Below are 23,166 nucleotides of genomic sequence, written 5' to 3'. Positions count from 1 at the left end.
GAAAAGGTGAAGTTCAATGCTGTCTGACATAGATGTGAATCTGAATAGGCAACTTGTCCAGCAGAGAACAGTGCCAGTTCAACCCACTCCTACCAAAGAGTAAAATCTAAACTTTAAAATAATTTTCCTCATCCATTTTATCTTATTATTATTACATTATTTATTTATTTGAGACAGAGTCTCACTCTGTCACCCAGGCTGGAGTGCAGTGGCATGTGTCCTTATCCATTTTAAATCCAGTTCACAAGAGTAACTTTTTTTACCCACCACGAATCATTTACTAGATATGTTCTGTCTAAGAAAAACAGTGGTACTCATTAGAGAAAGCCTATCATATTCTTATTACCCAGAGTCCTAGAGCTCTCAGAATTCTCACTTCCCAAAGTTAAAGTATTGACTAAGGAAAGAGGATTAACAGTTCATTTTTGGTTTGTAATTTCAGGGATAAAATTCTGACATTTTTTCTTAATCTTTAAATGAAGACTTTAGGCACATAATAAATGAATTTGGGTAGTCTTTTTAAAAGTCTTATCTGTTGCAATGATGTCTTAAATAGTAGTTTGTCTTTTTTATTTTGTGAAATGTTTTCATGAATTTTTCTGGGACAAGTGAAAGTCATATAGAGATGTTGTTGGTGGTGGGGGGTGTGGAAAGGCAAGATACTATAATAGACTGGCTTGGAGAAGTTCATGGAGGCTGGTGAGGGCACATAGAGTAGCAGGGCCACCTGAGATGGTTCTGCCCCTGGACATTAATCCAGTTACAAAGTGTAAGGGAGACCACTCTTCTTTGACAGGGAGTTTGCTTAAGAATGGTGACAGCAATTTCATATCAGAAGTTGACAACCAATTTGTTGTACTTCAGAAATAAGAGATTAAAATATGAAAAATGTATACCCCAAATTAGGAATACAAGTAAAGGATCTTCATACATGTAGGGAAAAAAGGAAAGTGATTTTTAAAAAAGATAGTGAAAGCTTTTTCAGAAGAGAGCTACCTAGAAAAAGCACTATAACAAAGCTGAAATGTCTTTTCCTTGCTGGTTCTTTCAAAAATCAGAGTTCATGTTGTAGATGCTAAGTGTTAAAATGCACTTAAGTATTGCACCTAGAACTGATAAATTTCTGAGAGAATATGCAATGAGTAATAAATGGGTAAAGGGTAGAGCTGAGACAATGGGGGAAGATAGCCTATCAGATTCAGGGTAGAAAAAACTTACAATAACTTTGATGAAGAATACTTATATCTATATCTAACTGGGGGATGACTTTTTGATTTATGTGACTCTGGTGTAGCATATAAAAGGCATTTCATGACTCTTATTCCATGATCATATAATTTTTATGAGCTTTATATATGAAGAGCCCTATTCTAGATGCTGTAAATTATTTTTCTAATTTATGTCTGTGGAAATATTTTTGTAAACTTAATAGTGCTATATAATTGACAGCTTAACATCAATAGTCGTAAGTAGCAGTAGAGTCTGTGGTCTCTTTAAATTAATATGTCAAATTGACAGAGTTTTAAAAAACTATATCCAAGGTTTACTTGGGAATGTAGAGAAATGGGCACTCTGGAAGTACAACTCTTTGGAAGACAATTTGGCTGTACATATCATAAGAAAGTACATATCAAAGCAGAACTTGATCCCAAGGATATTTTAATGAACCTAGGCAACAACTATTTATTAAGAATATTTATTACAAGCCTATTTCTAACAGAGCTAGATTATGAGTAATTTAAAACCTCATCAATAGGGAGTTGATTAAATGAATTATATAGCACATAGGATGAAATACAGTAATTCAAAACTACCTTTTTGAAATAATAATAAAGATGTTTAAGATATACTTAGTGAAAGAAGCATTATGTAAAGCATGTGGAGTTAAGTTCTGCACACATATATGCACAGATATAGAAAAAAGACTAGAATGATTTTATTAGGTGGCCATATTATGGGAGACATTTATTTTTCTTTCTTGCATGTTTTCCTATGTGTTCTATATTTTTTACGGTAAGTCCAGATTTTTTTAATAAGGAAAAGTTGTATGATAGGGAAGCTGATATTCCTCTGAGAGAAGTACTAATAGAATGTGATAAATGTAAAATTAGCAGTGAAGGCAGGAATCTCAGCTGAGAAAAGTGGAGCACAGTACCCACCTAGGGTGGCAGACAAGGCTCTACAGAGGAATCAATCAGGAACTCTGATGGAACTTGAGAAATGGAGAAGATTCAACACCTTAAGCAGAAAAATGGTTAGCAAGGATTAGGGACACCCATGTAAATATAGGTGTTGGAATTCATAAAGCGTATTAAATAGGTGCCCCATGGACAGAGAAATTGGAAGAGATAGATGTGACCAGAGAGATTGTTTAAAAGCATATGATAGACCCCATATACATATGTATTAGTTTTCTCAGTCAGCCATAACAAAATACTAGACTGAGTGTTAAACAGCAGAAACAACAGAAGTTGATTTTCTCACAGTTCTGGAGGCTGGATGTCCAAGATCAAGGTGCCAGCTGGGTTGGTTTCTGGTGAGGCCTCCCTTTTTGGCTTACAGACAGCCACCTTCTTGCTGTGTTCACACATATCCTTTCCTTTGTGTGCATGTGGAGAGAGAAAGAACCCTGGCGTCTCTTCTTTTTCTTGTATATAAAGAAACCAGTCCCACTGGAATAGGGCTCCACCCTTATGGCTTTATTTAACCTTAATTACCTCCTTAAAGGCTCTATCTTCGAATATAGTCACAGTAGCGGTTAGGGCTTAACCATGAATTTGGAGTGGACACAGTTTAGTCCATAACACTATCCTAAACTCAAGTGCTTGAACCACTACTTGCCTGTAAATAAAGAAATGGCATGGTGAAAACAATGTTTTGGGAAGATTAATGTGGCCTAGATGTGTAAAAGGACACTTAGAGAATGTCTAGAAACTTCGAATCTCTTCCTTTTCCATGCTGTGTATTTTTGTCTTTACGGGCTTGCATGCGATTCTTTGTCATCAGTTAGGAATGTATCCTTTCACGCTGTCAGGCTGTATAAAATACCTCTGGAGGATGGACTGTGTGTGAGAAATGAACAGGCAGCAGGAAGGGTAGGGTTTGGATTTCACTGGGGGTGTCTGGCTAATGACAGTGACTCCAAAGAAGCTCAGAGTTTCAGTGTTTGAGACTTTTGCTGGAAGAATGAGAAACAGATCACATTTCAAAGTGCTTCTCTATACCTTCTATAATGAAACCCCCAGATGGTATTTGAATCCCATCCAATGTGGACTTTCTCTCAACTGCTTTCACTGCTGTGGCTATTCTGGATGATTTAGCCATGTTCTTCCCACCCACTCTTTGAACATTGCTAGACTTACTCTCATCTCCAACTGTTGTCGGCTCATCAGTCATCAATGCACCAAGGCGGCTCTCTCTCCAGGGTTAGTGGCTCTTTCTGCAGGACCAGCATCTTTCTCTGATTTATGATTGCCTGTGCCCCTCCTTCTATGGTCCTGAAGCGTTTGTCTTCTCCCATTCCTGCAGCAGCTCTCTAATTCTACAGAATCTCAAAATCAGAGTGTTCTTCCTTGGCCTAGGAATGGTTCTGAATGCATGAGCAGAAGCTCAAGGAATGAAAAAGAGGTCCTTCTGATTTGGATAGGCAAGTACCTCACGCCCACAGGGAGTGTGCAATAGTTCCATGATGCCCATGTGCCCCACCTGAGGAGACCTGGTCTATGAAAACAAAACTCAGAAAATAGACTGTGGGTGAGCAATTATTATAGAACAGTGTTTCTTCATCATGAACTTTGTTATTGCAAAAACATTTAATTTATAGTATACACTTTAAAGAGAATACTTGAGTAAATTTAGATACATTTGAAAAACAGAATTAAGAATGTCTCTTTTGTTTTGTTTTGTTTTTTGTTTGTTTCCTTTTGACACGGAGTTCCACTTTTGTTGCCCAGGCTGGAGTGCAATGGCGCTATCTTAGCTCACTGAAACCTCCGCCTCCTGGGTTCAAGCGATTCTCCTGCCTCAGCCTTCTGAGTAGCTGGGATTACAGGCATGTGCCACCACACCTGGCTAATTTTGTATTTTTAGTAGAGATGGGGTTTCTCCATGTTGGTCAGGCTGGTCTCAAACTCCCGACCTCAGGTGATCCACCTGCCTCGGCCTCCCAAAGTGCTGGGATTACAGGCGTGAGCCACCGTGCCCAGCCTAAGACTGTCTTTAAAGGTCATAATATGACTAGATATCTTAGAACCTAATTGTACTGAAAACGTCTATTTTTTTCTTTTTAACTCATCTGTATTTGTTACATTCTTTTAGAGCAGAATGTGACTTGGGCATTACATTTCCAGGCACAAGCCTCACTGAGTTACTTTTTGAACAGCTTTACAAGATGCGTAGGTAGGCCTGTAATTTTGCTCCTCTAAACAATCTTGTTTCTCTTTCTTTCTCTCTCTTCCTTCCTTTCTCTTTCTTTCTTTCCCTTTCTTTCTTTCTTTCTTTCTTTCTTTCTTTCTTTCTTTCTTTCTTTCTTTCTTTCTTTCTTTTTCTTTCTTTCTTTCTCTCTCTCTCTCTCTCTCTCTCTTTCTTTCTTTCTTTCTTTCTTTCTTTCTCTCTCTCTCTCTTTCTTTCTTTTTTTTTTTTGACGGAATTTTGCTCTTGTTGCCCAGGCTGGAGTGCAATGGCATGATCTCAGCTCACTGCAACCTCCACCTTCTGGGTTCAAGTGATTCTCCTGCCTCCCAAGTATCTGGGACTACAGGCTTGCACCACAATGCTTGGCTAATTTTGTCTTTATAGTAGACATGAGGTTTCACCATGTTGGTCAGGTTGGTCTCAGACTCCTGACCTCAAGTGATCCCCCCGCCTTGGCCTCCCAAAGTGTTGGGATTGCAGGTATGAGCCACCACACCTGGCCAAACAATACTTTTCTTTGAGAAATAAGCCCTGTGGAGAGTTACGTTAAGTTGCTTCTGTTTAACATACTTATTTCTAGTGGACTAGTACGTGCAGAATTGGCAACCACAGGGTATGGAAAGTTTAAAAAGTAGATCCTAGAAGACTAACAAATACCTTACTTCTAGACATCAAGGTATATTTCAGAACACTTCAATGCCAACATATTTGGTCTGCTAAGGAATCTGGCTTGAACACTTTAGACCTCAAAGTTAACGTTAGGCTACATACATCTCACAGCACACATTACGTTGATCTGTTAAAAGAAGCCAATTTAAAACTAAAAAAGCATTACTAACCTGCTTTAGTGCCTAAAGCATCACAGCATCGCAAGTAGAAGTTGAAAGATATCTTATCTTCCCCTTAAAGGAGTTGTTGTCATGCCTTATATCTCTTTTTAATGTTAACCAAAATAAAGGAAAAAAGTCATTGAAAATATATTATCAGAGAGAATGAAGATAAAATATTGAACATGAATACAAGTCGTTCTTCAGCCAGAGCTTAGTCTATTTCTTCCATGCATGATATGTCATTATCTCCTTCAAGGGACAGCATTTCATTAGTTACAACAGAGAAAATGCTTTATTTTCATATTTAATTTTTTTTTCCTAAATTTATTGACTTTACATACAAATAGGTCTTAGGAGAAACCAAGTAAAATAACCATAGATTGAATTTATATTTTGCCTTTAAAGTATGTTTTAGTTAAATTATTTATATATTTTTTTCTGTTTGTAAGTAGAAAACATGATCTCTATAGAATAGTGACATTTTAGTGGTAAAGAAAAATATAAGAAATATGTCTTTCTGGGATCTTTTCAAACTACATAAATTTCTCTCAGATGCCTATCTCTATATAGCTCCTCATTTTTCCCACTCCAGATAGAAACTCAACTGCCATACCCTTTGGTTTCCTTGGAGTAGAAAAAAAAAAATAGTGACTGCTATGGATTGAATTGTGCCCCAAAATTTATGTTGAAGACACAAACCCCAGTGTGACTATATTTGGAGATAAGGCTTTTAGTTGGTAATTAAGGTTAAATGAGGTCTTAAGGGTGGAACATTAATCCAATAGAATTAATGGCCTTATAAGAAGAGGAAGAGAGAGGGAGACCTCTTTCTCTCTGCCATATCAGGACACAACAAGGAGATGGCTGTCTACAAGTTAGAAAATGATTCCTCACCAGAAACTGAATCTGCTGGCACCTTGATCTTCAACTTCCCAGACTCCAGAACTGCAAGAAATAAATTCTCATTGTTTAAGCCACCCAGTTTGTGGCAGCCTGAGCAGACCAAAGTAGTGACTATTATTATAGAGAATTTAGAAAAATAATAAAATAAAACCATATGAATCTACTGCAATCTCTTTTTGAAAATGATCTCTATGAATTTTTTTATTATCTTAATAACATTTATTCTGTTTTCTATTTAGGAAACAGCATGTAGTCATTGTATTAAAATTAGAAAAAGGATAAAAGCACCAAGAAGGAAATGAAAATTACATCATCCACAAATAACTAGTTATTACAATTTTGGTGTATATATTTCTAAACAATGATAATTTTTTTTTCCTTTGTGATCATAGTAGATCACACGTATATACAATTTTACAAGTTGGTCTGTTCACTTATTGCCACTTTTTCCCCATATAATTTAACATTCTTAAAAAAACATTATTTTCAACGGCGTCATAACCTTCTATCAAATTGATGTATTATTTATTCAACCAGTTTTCTATTATTTGCCAGTTTGGTTGTTCTTAATTTTTTGCTATTATGAAGAGTGCTGCAATGAACATATTGATACATCAGTCTATATTTATTTTCTGATTATTTTCCTTAAGTAAATTCCTAGAGGGATTGCTAGGTCATGTTAATAAACATGCCTAAGAATTTTGATACCTGTCACCAAATTGTTTTCTAGGAATGTTTCAAGAATTTATGCTCCCATAGGTAGATATTGAGAATTCTCATCCATCCACCTGTTGTATACATGAAGATATCAACAGCACTGCAACAAAATTTAAAAACATATTTGCAGGTTCGACAGAAGAAAAATGTTATACCCATATTTCAATTTATATATTTTTAATTACTTGTTGAGGTGAATTTGATTTGTTTTGTGTTATCACTTATTGGTTATCTCTGCGTTCCCTAAGTCTTTTGCTGTTTTTCTATTATATATATTTTTCATATTGATAAAAGCATTTTATTAAGTAGTAAGGGTATTACATGTAACTTTATTAGATTTGTTGTAAGAAATTTCCAATTTACTATTGTGTCTATGGAGTTTTTTAATGTATAGAAAGTAATACATTTTATAAGTTTATTCATTTCTCTTAATGTTCAGATAGTCCTTTATCATTCTGAGGTCATATAAAGATTCACCTGCTTTTTCATCTAATTTTTTTGCAGTTGTGTTTTTATCTTACTTTTCCTTTTTTTTTTCCTTTTTCTGGTGTAAAATTTGAGTGAAGCTATTTTCTCTGCTTTATTTGTTTGCTTAAAATTATCTCAGCTCTATTCACTGACTAATATTTTTTCCCTCCCCTCTGAGTTGGAATACCAATGTTATGCTAAAATCTTACATATACTAGCTTCTGCTTTTAAGTTATGTAAAGTATGTATTACTTTTTAAATTATATAGATTTATATTTTAATGTCTTAAAGAAGTTGCTCATTGTTGCACTTTGTTGTCAGATTTTACTTGAATATTCTTGCCTGTTGATTTTTAAAGATGAATTTTGGAATTACAGTTCAACATCGTAAAATCATCCTATAGGATTTTGACTGAAGTTGTATTAGACTATTAATTAATTTCCTAAGAATTTACACCTTTTACCTTATTCAATTTCTGCAACTAGGCTGTGGTATTCTTTTATTTTTGTATTTTTTTACATATACTAAAATATGCTTATTTTAGTATATGTAAAAAAGACTTATGTATACTTTTTTTCTTGTCCATCAGCAAAATTTTATAGTTTTTTTGTTTACAAGGGTCTTAGATTTTTAAATAATTGTTATTTCTAGTTGATCTTTGTTTTGGGGATAGATTTTCTCCCACTGTATTTTCAAAATGCCTATTTTCAGTGAACAGGTAAACTATTAATATTTTAACATTTATTTTGTATTTGGACACTTTGCTTTTATTTTTGTTAATTTCTCATTTGATTCACCTAAGTTTTCTAAGAATGAAGTCGTATTAAATTCACATGATGGTGATTTTGCTTACTCCTTTAAAGGAACTGTTTCTCTTATTCTGATTTTATGTTTAATTGCGTTGCTTATAATCATAAAAAAAATTCGTAACAAAAAAAAGAGAGGAAAACATCTTTTATCTTCATGAATGATAAGAAAGAAGGCCGAGTATATTGGCCCATGCCTGTAATCTCAACACTTTGGGAGGCTGAGGTGGGGGGACTGATTGAACCCAGGAGTTTGAGACCAGCCTGGGCAACATGGTGAAACCCTGTCTCTACAAAAACGAAAATTAGCCGGACATGGTGGTGCACGCCTGTAGTCCCAGATACTCGGGAGACTGAGATGGAAGGATCACCTGAGCCTAGGGAAGTCGAGGCTTCATTACAAACCCTGATCATGCCACTGCACTCCAGCCTAGGTGACAGAGTGAGACCCTGTCTCAAAAAAAAAAAAAAATGAGAAAGAATGCTTTGGTTTTCTTTTTCTTGCCCACCTCCTTTTTTGGTCGTTTCACATTTTTTTTCTCTATGAAGACTTATTTTTAAAGTTTTAATTCATTTATTTTCTGATTACTTTTGTAGCAGGCGTATCATGTTCTGATAGTCTTAGTGCTTAACATTAGTCATTTTATATTATGACTTTCCCTTAGTCAAGAAATTTGATTCATTTCTTAATAATCTGAAATATTTGTGTGTGATATGTCTTCTGAGGTTTTGTATACTGGAGGACATCATTTGTTTCTTTTAACCATAAATTGTAACTTGGCTGGATATAGAATTCTTATATTAAAATCTTTTCCCCTAAAAACTTCATAACTTCATAGATTTTGCTTCATTTTCTTTGGTATTCAGTGTTACAGAAAACGAAGTGTAAATATAACTGAATTTTTCTCCCATGCTTGAAATCCACACTTTTTGCTTTGTAATATTTAAATCTTAGTCATATTGTTCATAAACTTTGCCTTATCCTAGGTCAGCTTACTTTATCTGAAGACATGGATCTTTATTTGGAGCAGGAAAGTTTTCTTCTATTTTTTGATAACTGCTTAAGGTTAATGTATTCTAGATTCCTCTCCAGTAACACCAATAATGTATAGGTTTAATATCTGATGTCTTGACATTATAAATGTTTGACTTTTCTCTCTCATACACTTTGTCTCTTTTCCTTTTTCTGTATCCTGTGAGATCTTCTCCACCTAGTCTGCCCTAATAATGATTTGAATTTCTGTAATATTGAGTCTTTTTTCTTTCTTACCTTCTCTCCTCTTGTCATTCAGCTCTCTCTTCATCCTCACTTGAAACCCTATTTCTTCTCTCACTAGCAGCTATACAACTTTGGTTATTATATTTAACCTCTTTGTTCTCCATTTTTCTCATCAACAAAAGGTGGATACTAATTATTTCCACAGAACAAAATTAGATTGTTCTTGAGAACTTTTAGAAAAATACCCAGTCCCTAGAAATGTGTCAATATGTTTTAATCAGTATTACTGTTATCAGCAGCCTCAGCATCTCTCCTGTATCTGAGCAATACTCCTTTCCTTTAAGCTGTGGTTGTCTCGTTTCTGTGTGTATCTGTGAGTATATTTACACACAGAAGTCATATTTTTTGAATTTAGGGGTAACACAACACAGATACTTTTGAAAATGTACTCCTGCTGTAAATCTTTTTCAAAATCTTCACCTTGAGTACAATGTACCCTTTTTTTATGTTGTAGAATATTTTCATTAGCTTTACATTGTTGCTATTGTTGATTTTTCTATTTATATTTCCTTGTACAAGGAGAGATCTTTTGATAACAGACAGAATAGGTTAGTTCTCTTTGGTGACCCTAGACATCTACTTGGGAGCTGTCAGAATCCTCCCTCAATGGTAGGTTGAAGGATTGGTTTGTATGCAGAGTATTTAATCAAATTGCTTCTGACTGGATGGTATTTGGCAGGAGTAGGGCTGCATTTAACCAACATGGCACATGTATACATATGTAACAAACCTGCACATTGTGCACATGTACCCTAGAACTTAAAGTATGATAAAAAAATATATAAAAATAGATAACATTAAAAAAAGACTACTCTCCTGTTGGTCCTCTCTGACTATCCTATTCTATAGAGGGGAATATATTTTTGGATAATTTGAATTATTATTAAATTCAATCCACTCATCCCTTACTCAAAATACTGGGTGAAAAGCTGCGCTTTTTGAACTGCATCGCCCCATCACTCTTCTTGTCTTGGCTCATATTCCTGATGCATTTGCCAGATGCAAGGTGTCATCACATGCCCAGCCCTGACCCCTGCCATTCTGCCTTGTTGTGAGTTGTAGCATCTAAACAGATCTATAAACAGAAGTATTGATGGTGATTTGGAGGGCTGATGTGGACTTGGCACCTGCATTTTGGGGGAACAGGCTTTTGGCCCTCTAATAGGTGAAAGCCATACAGGCAGGTATGTAGAAACCTCTCACTTTCTTCCTGCTTGCTTTTATTATTTTGTCTTAAAGTTTTATTCACATTTTAATGGAATTGCCTTCAAGGGTCTGGCAGCATGTTGACTAATCTTTCTAGTACCATTGACACTGTATCTCTACATGTGATTTTGTGAGTAAGTATTCAAGATAAATTGAGAGAAGTTTAATAAGGCCTCTCTAGGAAGCTTTAAAATGTATCAGTTGAAAACAAAAGACTTTTTAACTATAGAATCATAGAGCCAGTGAAGTCTTAGACCAAAATTTTCATTTTATCATTGAGGAGACTCTTTTGAAGCAAAGTTACCTGTCTGAAGTAACAAAGAGGCCAGAGCCTGGGTCTCCTCACCTTTTGTCATTCAAGTTCCTTGGTCACTAAAAAAAATTGTTTTTAGCTAATTTGAGAAGTCTAGATTTTCAATCCAGTTTTTATCATATTTAGGAATTTCTTAAATAGCGAGAAGCCTTATTCCATGAAAAAATACGGAACTACAAGGTAAGCTTCACCGGAGAGTCCTGAAGCTCCTCACTGTTTAAGCACTTTAGGGAACATTTGCATGCCCTTCTTCCCATCTCTTCTATACGAATGTCTAACAACTATCAGTGGGCAAATAATCAAACTGGGATAATAGTTTTCTCAGAAGAGTTGGTTCTTTGATACATGATCATATTGTGCCATTCCGTATTCAAATGTGGCTGTCCCTCTGTGTCTCAGCTGCTGCAAGACTGCTCCTCTCGTCTCAAAATGACCCACCCAGCTAGAGCACTGTACACCCCCAGTGGAGAGCCAATTCAGTCCTGGGACGACATAGAGCGAGATATGGTCATCTGTGTGTCTATGGGACATGGTTTCAAAACCCCAAAAGGTATGCATGATAGTTTCTTTTCCATCAAGTCTTTGAAGAATTAAAGCATTCAATCTTCTCTTGGAAGAGCTTATATCCCATCACAATGATTTTTAATAATTATCCCCTCCCAAGCATTTCTACTCCATGTTATGGAAGTTAAATTTATATATTTATGTGCTGGAACCTCGTGTTAACACTGTTTGCTCTGGAGAATTCAATCGCATTTCAGTTAATCTTGAACCTTATCCAGGGGGCTTATTTGCAGAAATACTGAGAGCCTCATTTGAAGGTATTCCCCTAGTATGAACCCTGAGGAAAGTGAAGCTCCACTAATTTCCTATTTTTCAAATTACTTAAAACTTAATGTTTTATTAATAGTAATTATGTGGTTTGCAGTTTCTTTTCTTTAGTAATAAGTAAATATTTTCTAGAGTTATTATCTTGTCTATTCGTTGGTCATTTTCTTTGATAAATGACAGAAATTGAAAAGGACATATATTTGTTATTGAATGAACTCTAGTTCTTTATCCTATATATCCTGATGAAGTTAAAGCCAGTATTTGTAGGTAGGTATATATTAGCAAAGATATAATTTTCAGGAGATTCCGAAGAACACTGTTATCACTCTAAAGGAAACTAAAAGATTAGGTAATGAATTGCCTGGCATCCCTATGTTGGTAATAGTAGATATTTTCTTTTAAGAAGTCACCATAAAATTATTATTACTATGTTGTATGTAATGTAGGCAAACCAAAAACTTCTAAAACAGTTGCAATTCTATCTTTACATTTAGCCCAGAAGGGACAAAAGGATAGAAATGGAGACCAAAAAGTAGGGAGACGGGATTTATTAGGATGCCTAGCACTGTTCTGAGGGAAGCCACAAATATTCCTCCTGCACCATCCTACATTATGGATGAGGTGCCAGTCCTTTTATTCTTTGTTTTCTGCTGTTCCCATCACCCATCACTACCCTTCACCCTGGCTCTTGGTGACCCTCACTACATGGGTACTTAGAAGAACACACGAATGATGAGGTTCTTATTATCAGTAAGTATTAGTCAATAGCTTTCTGTATCCCCAGTTTGTAGGTTATAAAATAAACATAAGCTAGGCTCCTTTTCTGAGAGTTTTCAATCTAATTAAAAATATGAACACACGTGAAATAATTACAATACAATCGAATAGTGAGCAAACGTGTGCAGTAGGAGGTACCTTCCCAGTCCCTTCATTATCTAGGCTTAGTCTTCGATATTCCTGGGATGGGTTTCTGTTGCCTGTACCACACCTTTCTTGCAGTATTGTGTCCGTTGAGCCTGTGTGATAAATAAAGCTAAATATGCTTCAGGCAAGCTAGCCAAAAGGGTATCCAACGACAAAGAGAGATGTTGGCTGCCTTCCCAGAAACAAGCTTGTCAACAATAAAAACTGTGACTGGAAGAGAAAAAATATTGGAAATGCAAATATTGCTCTTTCTACCATTTTCCTCCATGTTAGCTCTGTGTATCTTTGATAAAGCTATGGAGACAAATGTTCATTTTTGCATCTTCAATTTTATAAATACATAGATTACCATCGTATGAAAGTTTATTTCTTTCCTATGACAATAGGTTCCCCATGTTACCTTCATGGTGAAAGGATTAGTGGTTTCCTCCTATTGTCTCAGTTCTTTCCAATGAGCTATATATGTTCCAGGATACAGGAAATCTCTGATCGCAGAAAGTCTGATTTAGTCGTTCTTTAGAAACTTATTTTATTGTTGCCATTAAGTAAGTAATACTCATTTATTAGAAATCTAAATATTCAGAATGCTTTAAAAAAGAAAAGATAGAAATGCAACTACATGCCTATACCCATTAAGGGACATTTACTTAATCATTCCACTCATGCTGTTTCTGTGACCTACTGGCTTAAGTATGTAGGAAGAAAATAAAGCAGTCTGGGAGTTTCAAAAGCACTCTATGATAACTTATTTTATGCATTATAATATCAAAAAACATTTAGTATGTGAAATTCATCAAAGAATCACTTCGGGTTTTTTAAAAAATCAATTGGATTTTGCAAAACAAACCAGAAGCTATTAGAATGGCTTCTTTCACACAAACCCCTGACAAAATTAAAAGAGTGTTTTATGCCATTTGCCATAAAATCTGAACACTGTTCTCACTGCTGCTTTCTGTCTTTTCAGTGGGTGCAATTTTTAGACCAGCCCTAGGTTAGCTTCCAATTCAGGCTTTGTAATAAACCTGGAAAGAAGTCCTCTCTAGCAACTTCCATTCTCTAGCAATCCAAAGACTATTAACAATATATCTCATGTGATAAGAAGTCAAAGTTGTAATGAGAGAGCCCAGGGTGGGAGCCAAGGATTTGTGAGGGGTCTTCAAGTTTTTCATCATCCTGGACTTTTAATTATTTTCTATAACATTGACTTGTCTCTCAACTTCTTTTTTTTTTTTTTTTAACAGAGTTAAAACAACTGATGGAGATCAGAGCAAATTATGCCAGAATCCGAAGGCAGCAGGGCCCTCAAGCCACAGACATTGTGGTGTCACCATCCACGAAGCTGCTGTCTCTGGCACATCTCCACAATTAACTCCTATCAGAACCATCGGATTTTCTGCTGTATTTTTCTGGTATAGCTATGTGCACATACTCATGTTTGTTATGACATTATGATTATTTATCTCTTTTATTTTCATGCAGTTCCCCCCTCTTTCTTTTCTGAGACAGGTTCTTGCTCTGTCACCCAGGCTGGAGTGTAGTGGCACAATCACAGCTTACTGCAGCCTTGACCTCCCGGGGCTCACGTGATCCTCCCATCTCAGCCTCCCAAGTAAATGGGACTACAGTCATGCACCACTACACCCAGCTAATATTTATATTTTTTTTAGAGATGGGGTTTTGCCTTGTTGCCCAGGCTGGTCTTGAACTCCTGAGCTCAAGCAATCCTCCCACCTCGACATCACAAAGTGCTGGGATTGTAGGCATGAGCCACTGCACCCAGCGATCTTTTTTGAAGGTTATTACCCTCCGCATTTTACATAAAGTGACATTTGATGCCTCAAGTTTGTTCCTGGAAAGGCAACAAAACTAGACAAAATAATGCCAGCAAAATAACTATCTTCGGTGGATTTTCTTCCAAGAAAAGAAGGAAACTACTAGTCATTAGTGAAATATAATTTCACAGGATCAAATAGCTTATGTAAAATACTTTTTATATATAATCGAACATTCCATCAAACATTCCATATATGGAATAGAAAATATATTCCATATATGGAATGTTTTGATAATACAAAAAGACTCTGACCACTAGACACTAAATTTGACCCTAGCTGACATTTTCTGGCTCAGCCACGATATTTTCCAAACCTCTGTATTAAAATCCTTAATATACTGAATACAAATGAAATGGCTGGTGGCCACCAAATGCCACACAAATCAATGCTTTCTTCTTCAATTTCTCATCAGTTTCACCTGTAGTAACAGTGCAGGACCTTTTATGGGGTACAGTTAGATTCTGTTCATGAGAGTAAAGCTTGGCAATTCCCAATATGTGCCCAGTGATCAAAAGTCATAGACTGTGTCCTCAATTCAAAAACTTAGGGAAAGGATATATGCACTATTTAAAAGAAAAATTATGGAAGGTTTATTTTTTGAAAAGAAATCAAGGGAGATCCCTAGCAATCTTAGGTATTAATCCTACAGGTAGGGAAGAATTTACAAGAAGAAGACAGAACCATTAAAAAAATAGCAGTTACAAATCAGAGTTTAGTTTCTGCTTTTGGTGAAAAATTTCCAGAGAAATGCTCTTCTTCCCAGTGTTCCTCTGAAAACCACTCACAACTCTGTATGAATATAAATTGTACTCTGGCTAGGTGTGTACAGAATGGCTCAGCTGGGTTCACTTCTCAATCCTCCACTTTAATGTGATGCAGGAAGGCAGTATATCATTTCTACTGAAGGGGGCTCTTGGTAATCGCTGCAAAAGGCCTAGTATTTACTCCCAGTCTGCAAATCAGTAGGGCTGCATGAATAAATTCCTGCTGCCTCTGACACCACTAAAAGCAAAGCACATTGAGGTGAAATTTCACATGTTACATCAACAGCAATTTGCCCTTTTACAGACATTTTCTCTATGTGTTGTGTGATGTTAGAGATGTGAAGGTATTCCAATGCATCTGTGTGCCATATAGGAGAAAAAGATTGCATGTGACTTCTGTTTTGCCTTTTCTTTTTTTTTTTAAGCAAGAAAGTCAAAACAAGAAGGGTTAAGAAACTTGCTCCCCGTTGGAAAGGGAGCCAAGAGGACTCTTGCCAACTGGGCCTCTCCCTAGAATGACTCAATCACAATCCTTCTATAGACAATTTTTTGTTTTCATTCCTTGAAAACAAAGACATCTCTCTAGGTGCAAAAGTACCTATCACTTTCCTGCCAGGGAAAAGTTGATTTGCTATGAAAATGGCATAATTTCACCCTGGATCAAATGTGCAAATTCTTGTGAAGTCATCACTGTTGCATGTGAATACGCCTGAAGCGAAAATTGGTAATATCACACAACGCTGTATCAAGCATCAGGAGACATAAGGCAAAAGTCTTAACTGAACTTTTCTATTACTAGTAAATGGGATTTTAGATGTAATGTAACAGTCATCAACACATCACATTTTACCAGCAAGGCAGCGACACTTACTTTGTAGATGACAGCTAGCCCTGGGTATCTTGGTAGTTCATAGCCACTTTTAGCTTAGACTAAAAACAGCCCTGCTCTTTCCTTACTCTTGACCTTCCTCTTTGGTTGGCTGCAAGGTGGACTGGGGAACAGTTTCTCTACCTTCAGCAAGGAATATAGGATAAGACCATTGCAAATCTGTTCAGCCATCTAGGCTTTTAATAAATGCAGTAATTTCCTTTGGGAACATGTTTATCAAATTTGAATCAGCCTCATATATGTAAGTCAGATTTCAGTATTTTTCTATCAACTGAAAACAATTTATTATTAAATACTAAAGCAACCATCCCTAAGTCCATGGCCTACTCCAAAAATTTATTTCCTGATAGTTCACAAACACCCTTAAGGTGATCCAGATGTTAATCAACAGTGTAGAAGCATTTGGGATTTTCCTCAGGAGAACTGAATTTTTCTGCCCATCGCTCTAGCTTTCGTAATCTGATTAAGTGTTAGGGTAAAGTTGCAATGTTTCTAAGCAAGTAAACTAAAAGCAATATGCCTGAAAGTCTGGCAGTCTTTCTGAGAATAACTAACAGTATTTATAAATAAGAAGCATTTTATCTGGATGCTTATGTCAGCTTTGTAAAACAGGATATATTAGTAATGATTCAAAATGCAAAGGTAGCTTTGAAGGGCAATAACCCTAAATCTCTGTTTTTTTCCTTGATTGTTTATCATAATTAAATATTGTTTCCCTAATTAAGAAAACAAAGCAACAATCAAACAAATGACAGCAGAAGGATAAATATAAATATATTCTCTTTTGTCAGAGACTCACTTAGAAATTGTGGCTCGTGGCTGTTGAAGCATTTGTGAGCTAACCTTCAATAATAGCCCAGGTGTGCTGAGTGCCATTGAGAGATTTGTGATTCACCATGGCAGCATTTTTTTTTTTTGCATCATTTGGAAGCGAATGATCAAAACACACAAATCTGCGTCATTTGGAAGCGAATGATCAAAACACACAAATCTGCGTTATTCTAGTACATCACAAAATCAGATGCAAATGTCCCCAGTTATGGGAAATTTAGACTCAGTGGTGACTCTCAGTTGTTTCTATTGAACCGCTGGTTCTGGTTCCCTCCTGGCTTTGAAAATATCTCAACCCCGTGTCCCCTCTACGAGGCTAGGTAAGTAGAATGAAAGAGTAACAGTTTTGTTCTCGACACAGTAAATTAGAATTCTGCATAAATGGCATGGTTTGGGGCTGTGTGGCCATAAGCAACTACAAAGCAAGATCAACAAAGACCACTCAGGAGAAAGCTGATGAAAATAAATGGACTGACCGTGTAACCGTAGGTATTCAGTGGGTGCCTGCTGGCAGCTATAACATTTTCTAATTCTACGAGTCTGGAATATGAAACTACTATCAAGGCTGTCACCCTGTACCAAATGTATAAATAGAAATATATGAGAGAGGAAATACATATGCCCATAGTGCAACTGGGTTGAAGGAGAGAGGAAGAAAGGAGACGAGAAATTCTATATCTATGGCAAGTAAAATGGTGATTCTGAATTGGATGTGCTATTGCTCATTGTCTGTGGTATCCCTCTGTGGGCTTGCAGGCAGATACAAGCTTCAGTCGAGCTGTTGGACCTATCAGGTCCTAGCTTGCCAGTCCTAGAGCAGTAATTTCAATGTAGGAAACTGATATTAGGGTTTTAGCTCAGGTGCACATGCTCAGGAATGTCAGCTGTGTGAGACCAGCTGAGGCAGTTCGGTGGTCATCTCTGGTGCCACCACTGGAAGCTGTGTTTTAAAGGAAATTTCCTGAAGGGCACTGTCCTTTACTCAGTGACTATGCTGGAGAGAGGTGGAGGAGAGGAGGGAACTTCCCAGGGCTCCTAGGTTAGTGCCTCTAAAAATCTAAAATCTGATTATATCTCTGTTCTCATTTCCATTACTTTTTCTCCCTCTTCCCTCCTCCCTCTTCCTCCCTGCCTCTTGGCCTTTTCCCGTCTTCCTGGCTTTTCTCCTCTAAGAGTCTTTAAATCCCATCTTTCATTTAAAAAGAAAAAACTGTTTCCTGGAACAATTTGTGTATTGGCAAGAGATACTTCCTTAATATGATTCTCAAATTTGAGTGTGCACAAGAAACACCTGGTGTGCTAGATAAAATACAGATTTCCAGGCTTGGTCCCAGCACTGGTCATAATCTCTATGCCTAAGGTATAAGGAATCTGCATTTTAACAAGCACCTGGGAAGAAGCACGTCGTGACCACAGTGTAAGAAACTTTGCCAAGAGTTTTAGGCCTGCCAGGGACAGTGCTGTTTATTATCAGCAGGGCATGGCCCAAGTGGTAAGTACCAGTTTTAAGAACAAAGCCTGTATTCAGGGGCTATGAAGACAATGAAACATTTGCTTTGTATGTGAGTATTTGAGTCTAAGTAGCCTCATGTTTTCTCATCACAGTTCCCTTAAGAAATGATGGAAATGTTCTTGAGTCAGATATAACCACCCAGAGATTTTAACTAGGACCCAGACATTGGAAGGCTAAACAAGTGAGTTTGAGGTGCTGAAGCTTTCCATGTTCATTAAGCTGCCTTCAGTGCTGATAAAATCTTGCTATTTTAAAGGTCACAGGAATAATATCAGTGCTGTGGTACATATATCAGGGAGCGGAGTACTTTTGAGGGTGGGGAAAATAACCAGCTTCCTGGAGTTTTCTTATACATTTTTATATGTACAAAGAAGGAGAGCTTTGGAACAAGGAGAGGATTTCTATTTTCCATCATTGCTCTTTCTCCTGTGAAGGAGCTACTTGAACATCTCTTTTCTGTTTGCCCTAAGTCTAGTTAGCAAGGAAGTGTGAGCACCTGCATCCCTGGCAGGCTCACCCAAGAGTGTGAAAATCCACAGGACGTTATTTCAGTTCGGTAACAAATTCTCTTAGAAAAATGAATTTTCAAGATAGTTCTCTTGCCAGACCAATGAAATCCATATAGCTTGAGAGACAGACACTCTCCTTGGAAGACAGACACTTTCCTTGGAAAACAGAGAATACAAAGAAAATTAGTTTTTCTAACACTTAATTCATGTATATACCAGTTTGTTCTCTCTCTCTCTCTCTCTCTCTATATATATATATATATATATGTATATACACACACATTTTTATATATTTATACATTTTTATATACAAATATAAAAGTTTAAATTTTTCCTTGCCTCTTGTTTAGTGTAGTCATTTTGATAGGATAAATCCCATTGTGGATTTTGATTTTTATTACTCTATCTTCTACTACCCCACCCTCTAAGCTAGCCCAGCTAACAGCTTTCCCAATGTTAAAACTGTGCGTGTGTATATATATGCAGAAGATAGAGAGAGAGAGAGAGAGACAGAGAGAGACAGAGAGAGAGACAGAGAGAGAGAGAGACCAGCTTGTATATACATGGTATATGCATGAATATATATATACATGAAAAATATATATTTATATATATATATATTCAGGCAGTCACTGCACTCACTGTTCTAGGTGCTGGGCATGCAGAGGTGAATGTGACAGATGTGATCCCTGTCCCCGTGGGGCTCATGCTGTGTGCTGGGGAGGAGAGGCATTTAGAAGTTAAATACCCAAATAAAATAATTATGTGCAATAAATAGTTACACATTGTGTTAAGTCTTATGAAGGAAACCAAGTTCAGTTAGAGAATTACTGGAGGGGAGGTAGGGGTGACATACTTAATGAACGGCATGTTTAAAGCCTTATATAAGGAAGTGAGTTAAGCTAAAAGACAAGAATGAATCAGCCATTGCAAATGGAAAGAAGCAGAATGAGGGTTGTCGTAGGGAACGGAGTACCAGGCAGAGGTGAGAATCAGGAAAGAGCGTGGCATGCTCAAGCTACCAAAGGAAGGTCCAAAGTAGCCACTGTCCAACAGAAAGATCACAGGAGCCACATGAGTAATTTGAAATTTTCTAGTAGCCACATTTTTAGAAAAGTTAAAAGAAATGTGTGAAATACATTTTCATACCATATTTTATTCAACTCAATATATCCAAAGTATTAGCATTTCAACATATCATCAATGTAAAATTATTGAGGCATATTTCTTTGTTACTGTTCTAAGGTCTCCATATCCTGTGTGTATTTTACACTTACAGCACATCTCAATTCAGACTAGCTGTATTTCAAGTACTTCATGGCTACTTTTCTTAAAAGAACTAATTCACAAAAAACAAAACAAAACAACAACAACAAAAAATGGCACTAGGACTGTTTTAGTTGCTGGGCATGCAAAGGTGCATGCAATAGTTATGACTGCTTGGCTAGGCCTAGAATGTTGGACTAACAGGCACAAGATGAGCTTGAAGGGGCATGCATGGGCCTGATTATGAGGGCCTTGTACGTAGTGCTAAGGAGTTGGGAGATTATATATATATATAAGTGCACTTTATATATATAACTTGAACAAGCTTAATGTAATACACAATGTCTAGTCCAACATTCACATTAGTTCTTACTGGCTTCCCACTGCAATGTATATATATGTATGTGTGTGTGTATGTATATATGTGTACATATATGTGTGTATATATATGTGTATATATATGTATACATATGTATATGTGTGTCTAAGTGTACTTAATACACTAAGTGTACTCATGTTTTATCACTATAATTCCCTTAGAAATAATGGAAATGTTATTGAGTCAGAACTAACCACCCAGAGATTATAACTAGGACCCAGATATTGGAAGGCGAAACAAGTGGGTTTGAGGTACTGAAGCTCTCCATGTTAATTAAACTACCTTCAGTGCTGATAAAATCTTGCTATTTTAAAGGTCACAGAAATAATATCAGTGCTTGATATATATATCAAGCTGGAATAATATCAGTGCTATATAAAAAGATAGATAGAGAGGGAGATAGATAGATAGATAGTGCAGTGGGAAGCCAGTAAAGAGAACAAATGTGAATGTTGGACTAGACATTGTGTATTAAGTTAGGCTTGTTCAAGTTACAAGTTACAGAGACTCACTCAGTTTACCTCTGGTGATGGAGGTTTGTTGGGAGGATTAACAAGGAAGAGAGGAAGCACAGGAAAGCCCAGAAAACAGGCTTCGTGGTGGCCTCTGTTCAAGACGCATGCCTGTCTGGGTCCCAGTGGCCACCCCAGTAGTCTGCCATTCCTGCTCTTGACTTCCCTGTTTCTCTGTGCTTGGTCCTCATGTGAATTTTCTACTTATCCGAGGGCTCTTCTGTTGTACACTAAGATATGGCACCTACCTACTCATGGCTTCTGTTGCTTAACGGCTTCTGTTTATATTTTTTCCTGCCTTCTCTTTATATTTATTTTGGCTTCAGGGTCACTGTACCATCTGAACTACTTTCTTTGTGTCTTCTAACAGAAGGTTGAATGGATGGCTTCTACTCATTCCTTTAGATTAGGATGTCAGGGACACATGATGCAAAGCACAGTTTCCCTACGTAAGGAACAGTGTAGACTGATCTTTCCTCAGGAAGCTGTGGACATGGCATTGTTAGTATAGACATGTATTTCTGCCATTGTTTTGGTTCTTTTCTCCCTTCACTACTGAGGAATGAAATTAGCAATAGAATCAGCTAGGCTGTCACTATTCCTAATCAGTCAGTGAGAGGCTTGCCCTTGGGTATACACTTAAAACTGACTTTGGTGGGGTGACCTTGATGTTATTTTCTAAGCAGCTGACACAAAATTGAGGTTAGAATCTGTGACTTTGATTACAATATCAGGATGAATACCATTTGAGATCTTAAGTAACACTTCTGAACATAATCAAGTCTGTCTAAAGAAGTGGATGTTGCAGAGACTGGCAAAACTCAAGACACTCTGATTGGCATTCAGGAAATTTTTTCAAATCAATTCCAGTGTCAAACCCTTTTTGTCAGACCTTTCCTTGCCTCTCGTTTAATGTAGTCATTTTGATAGGATAAATCCCATTGTGAATTTTTATTTTTATGACTTTGTTTCCTACTACCTCACTCTCAAAGGCCAGACTTGCCAACAGCTTTCCTAATGTTAAAATATGAGTTCTGTTCACTGGGTGTGACAGTGGTCTGCTGTGCTTTGAGTTGGAAATAGTCGTTATTCTCTAGGACACCCATGGAGCAGTGTTATCCATTAGATAACACCCAGCTCCCATGGGAAGGTTGATATGGGCCACATCTATACATTTAACCAAAGCTGTGTCTTCAAGAGGTGTCTCAGGGAGTTTTCACCAGCAATACAGGCACCGCAGCAACAGCACATACCAGGGTCAACAGGACTCTGCCTCACTCAGGAAATGACTTGATGGCAGAGGTTGATTTCCATTTGCACAAACATACAACTGTTAATATGAGTAAAATGGGATGCATTTATAGGATTTTGTAAGTACTTCAAAGTTGTTTACTTACCCTATCTGACTTCAGACCACTGCCATCACTCACTGGTATAATAACACTGATTTTCCAACTAGTCACTGCACACACCCCCACCCCCAGAGCCTTGCTTCTATCGAATTCTTTGTCAAAGTTGTAGCCAGAATGATCTTTCTAGAATAAGAATCATATCATGTCACTTCCTCACTTAAAGAGCTTAAGTGGCCCTCTGTTGCCATCAAAATGCAGGACAAACTCGCTCCCCTGTGCCCAAAGGCCTTTGGAATCCGGAGGTCCCCTGGCTCTGAAGTCTGGGTTCTCAGCCCTTTGTTCACAGAGTTCTGCACTCCACCCATGCTAAACTTTTCCCCATTCCCCAAGATTGTATATTCTCTCTTACTTCCATGATTTTGCACATTTTCTTCCTGCAGCTTTCTCATGTCATTTTATATGACTGTGTGGGGAACTTCCTTCCATGTGCTCCCCCTGTACCTGTTGCTCACCCTTGTAGGACTTACCACTGTGGACATGCCCTTTCTCTCACTGGTCTGCAAACTCCATGAAAGTAGGGTGTTCAGAATTGTGTTCCCAGTGCCTGAATAGCCCTTACTACATAG

The 23,166-nt window shown here is 37.0% G+C and overlaps 1 protein-coding gene and 2 long non-coding RNA genes across 17 annotated transcripts in view; 1 reads left to right on the top strand and 2 right to left on the bottom strand.

Moving 5' to 3' along the window:
• The window catches only part of LOC105376611 (uncharacterized), a 32,196-nt gene extending 29,672 nt beyond the window's left edge, over positions 1-2,524 (bottom strand). For both annotated transcript variants that reach the window (XR_007062642.1, XR_007062641.1), the window contains exons 1-2: positions 2,485-2,524; positions 2,160-2,238 (exon numbers count right to left, since the gene is read on the bottom strand). This is a non-coding gene — a long non-coding RNA (uncharacterized LOC105376611). The remainder of the gene's footprint in view (positions 1-2,159; positions 2,239-2,484) is intronic.
• Positions 1-23,166, top strand: part of DCDC1 (doublecortin domain containing 1) — a 506,137-nt gene that overhangs the window by 477,097 nt on the left and 5,874 nt on the right. For 13 of the 14 annotated variants that reach the window (XM_024448478.2, XM_024448476.2, XM_024448475.2 and 10 more), the window contains 2 exons: positions 11,335-11,485; positions 13,932-14,099. In XM_024448478.2, coding sequence (XP_024304246.1) covers positions 11,335-11,485; positions 13,932-14,059 — 279 coding nt within the window. In that variant the 3' untranslated portion in view covers positions 14,060-14,099. Of the gene's footprint in view, positions 1-11,334; positions 11,486-13,931; positions 14,101-23,166 lie in introns of those variants that run through there. The other variant, XM_047426876.1, reaches the window with a different exon arrangement.
• On the bottom strand, positions 3,459-23,078 carry LOC124902656 (uncharacterized). Its single transcript, XR_007062643.1, has 4 exons — positions 22,586-23,078; positions 6,138-6,188; positions 5,253-5,346; positions 3,459-3,541 (listed from the first exon to the last, which is right to left on the bottom strand). It is a non-coding gene; the product is annotated as an uncharacterized LOC124902656 (long non-coding RNA).

This window comes from Homo sapiens, chromosome 11, assembly GCF_000001405.40.
Source record: "Homo sapiens chromosome 11, GRCh38.p14 Primary Assembly".
Taxonomy (NCBI): Eukaryota; Metazoa; Chordata; class Mammalia; order Primates; family Hominidae; genus Homo; species Homo sapiens.
The sequence above is the reverse complement of the archived record's forward strand: the minus strand, read 5'-3'. Positions and strand labels throughout refer to the sequence as shown.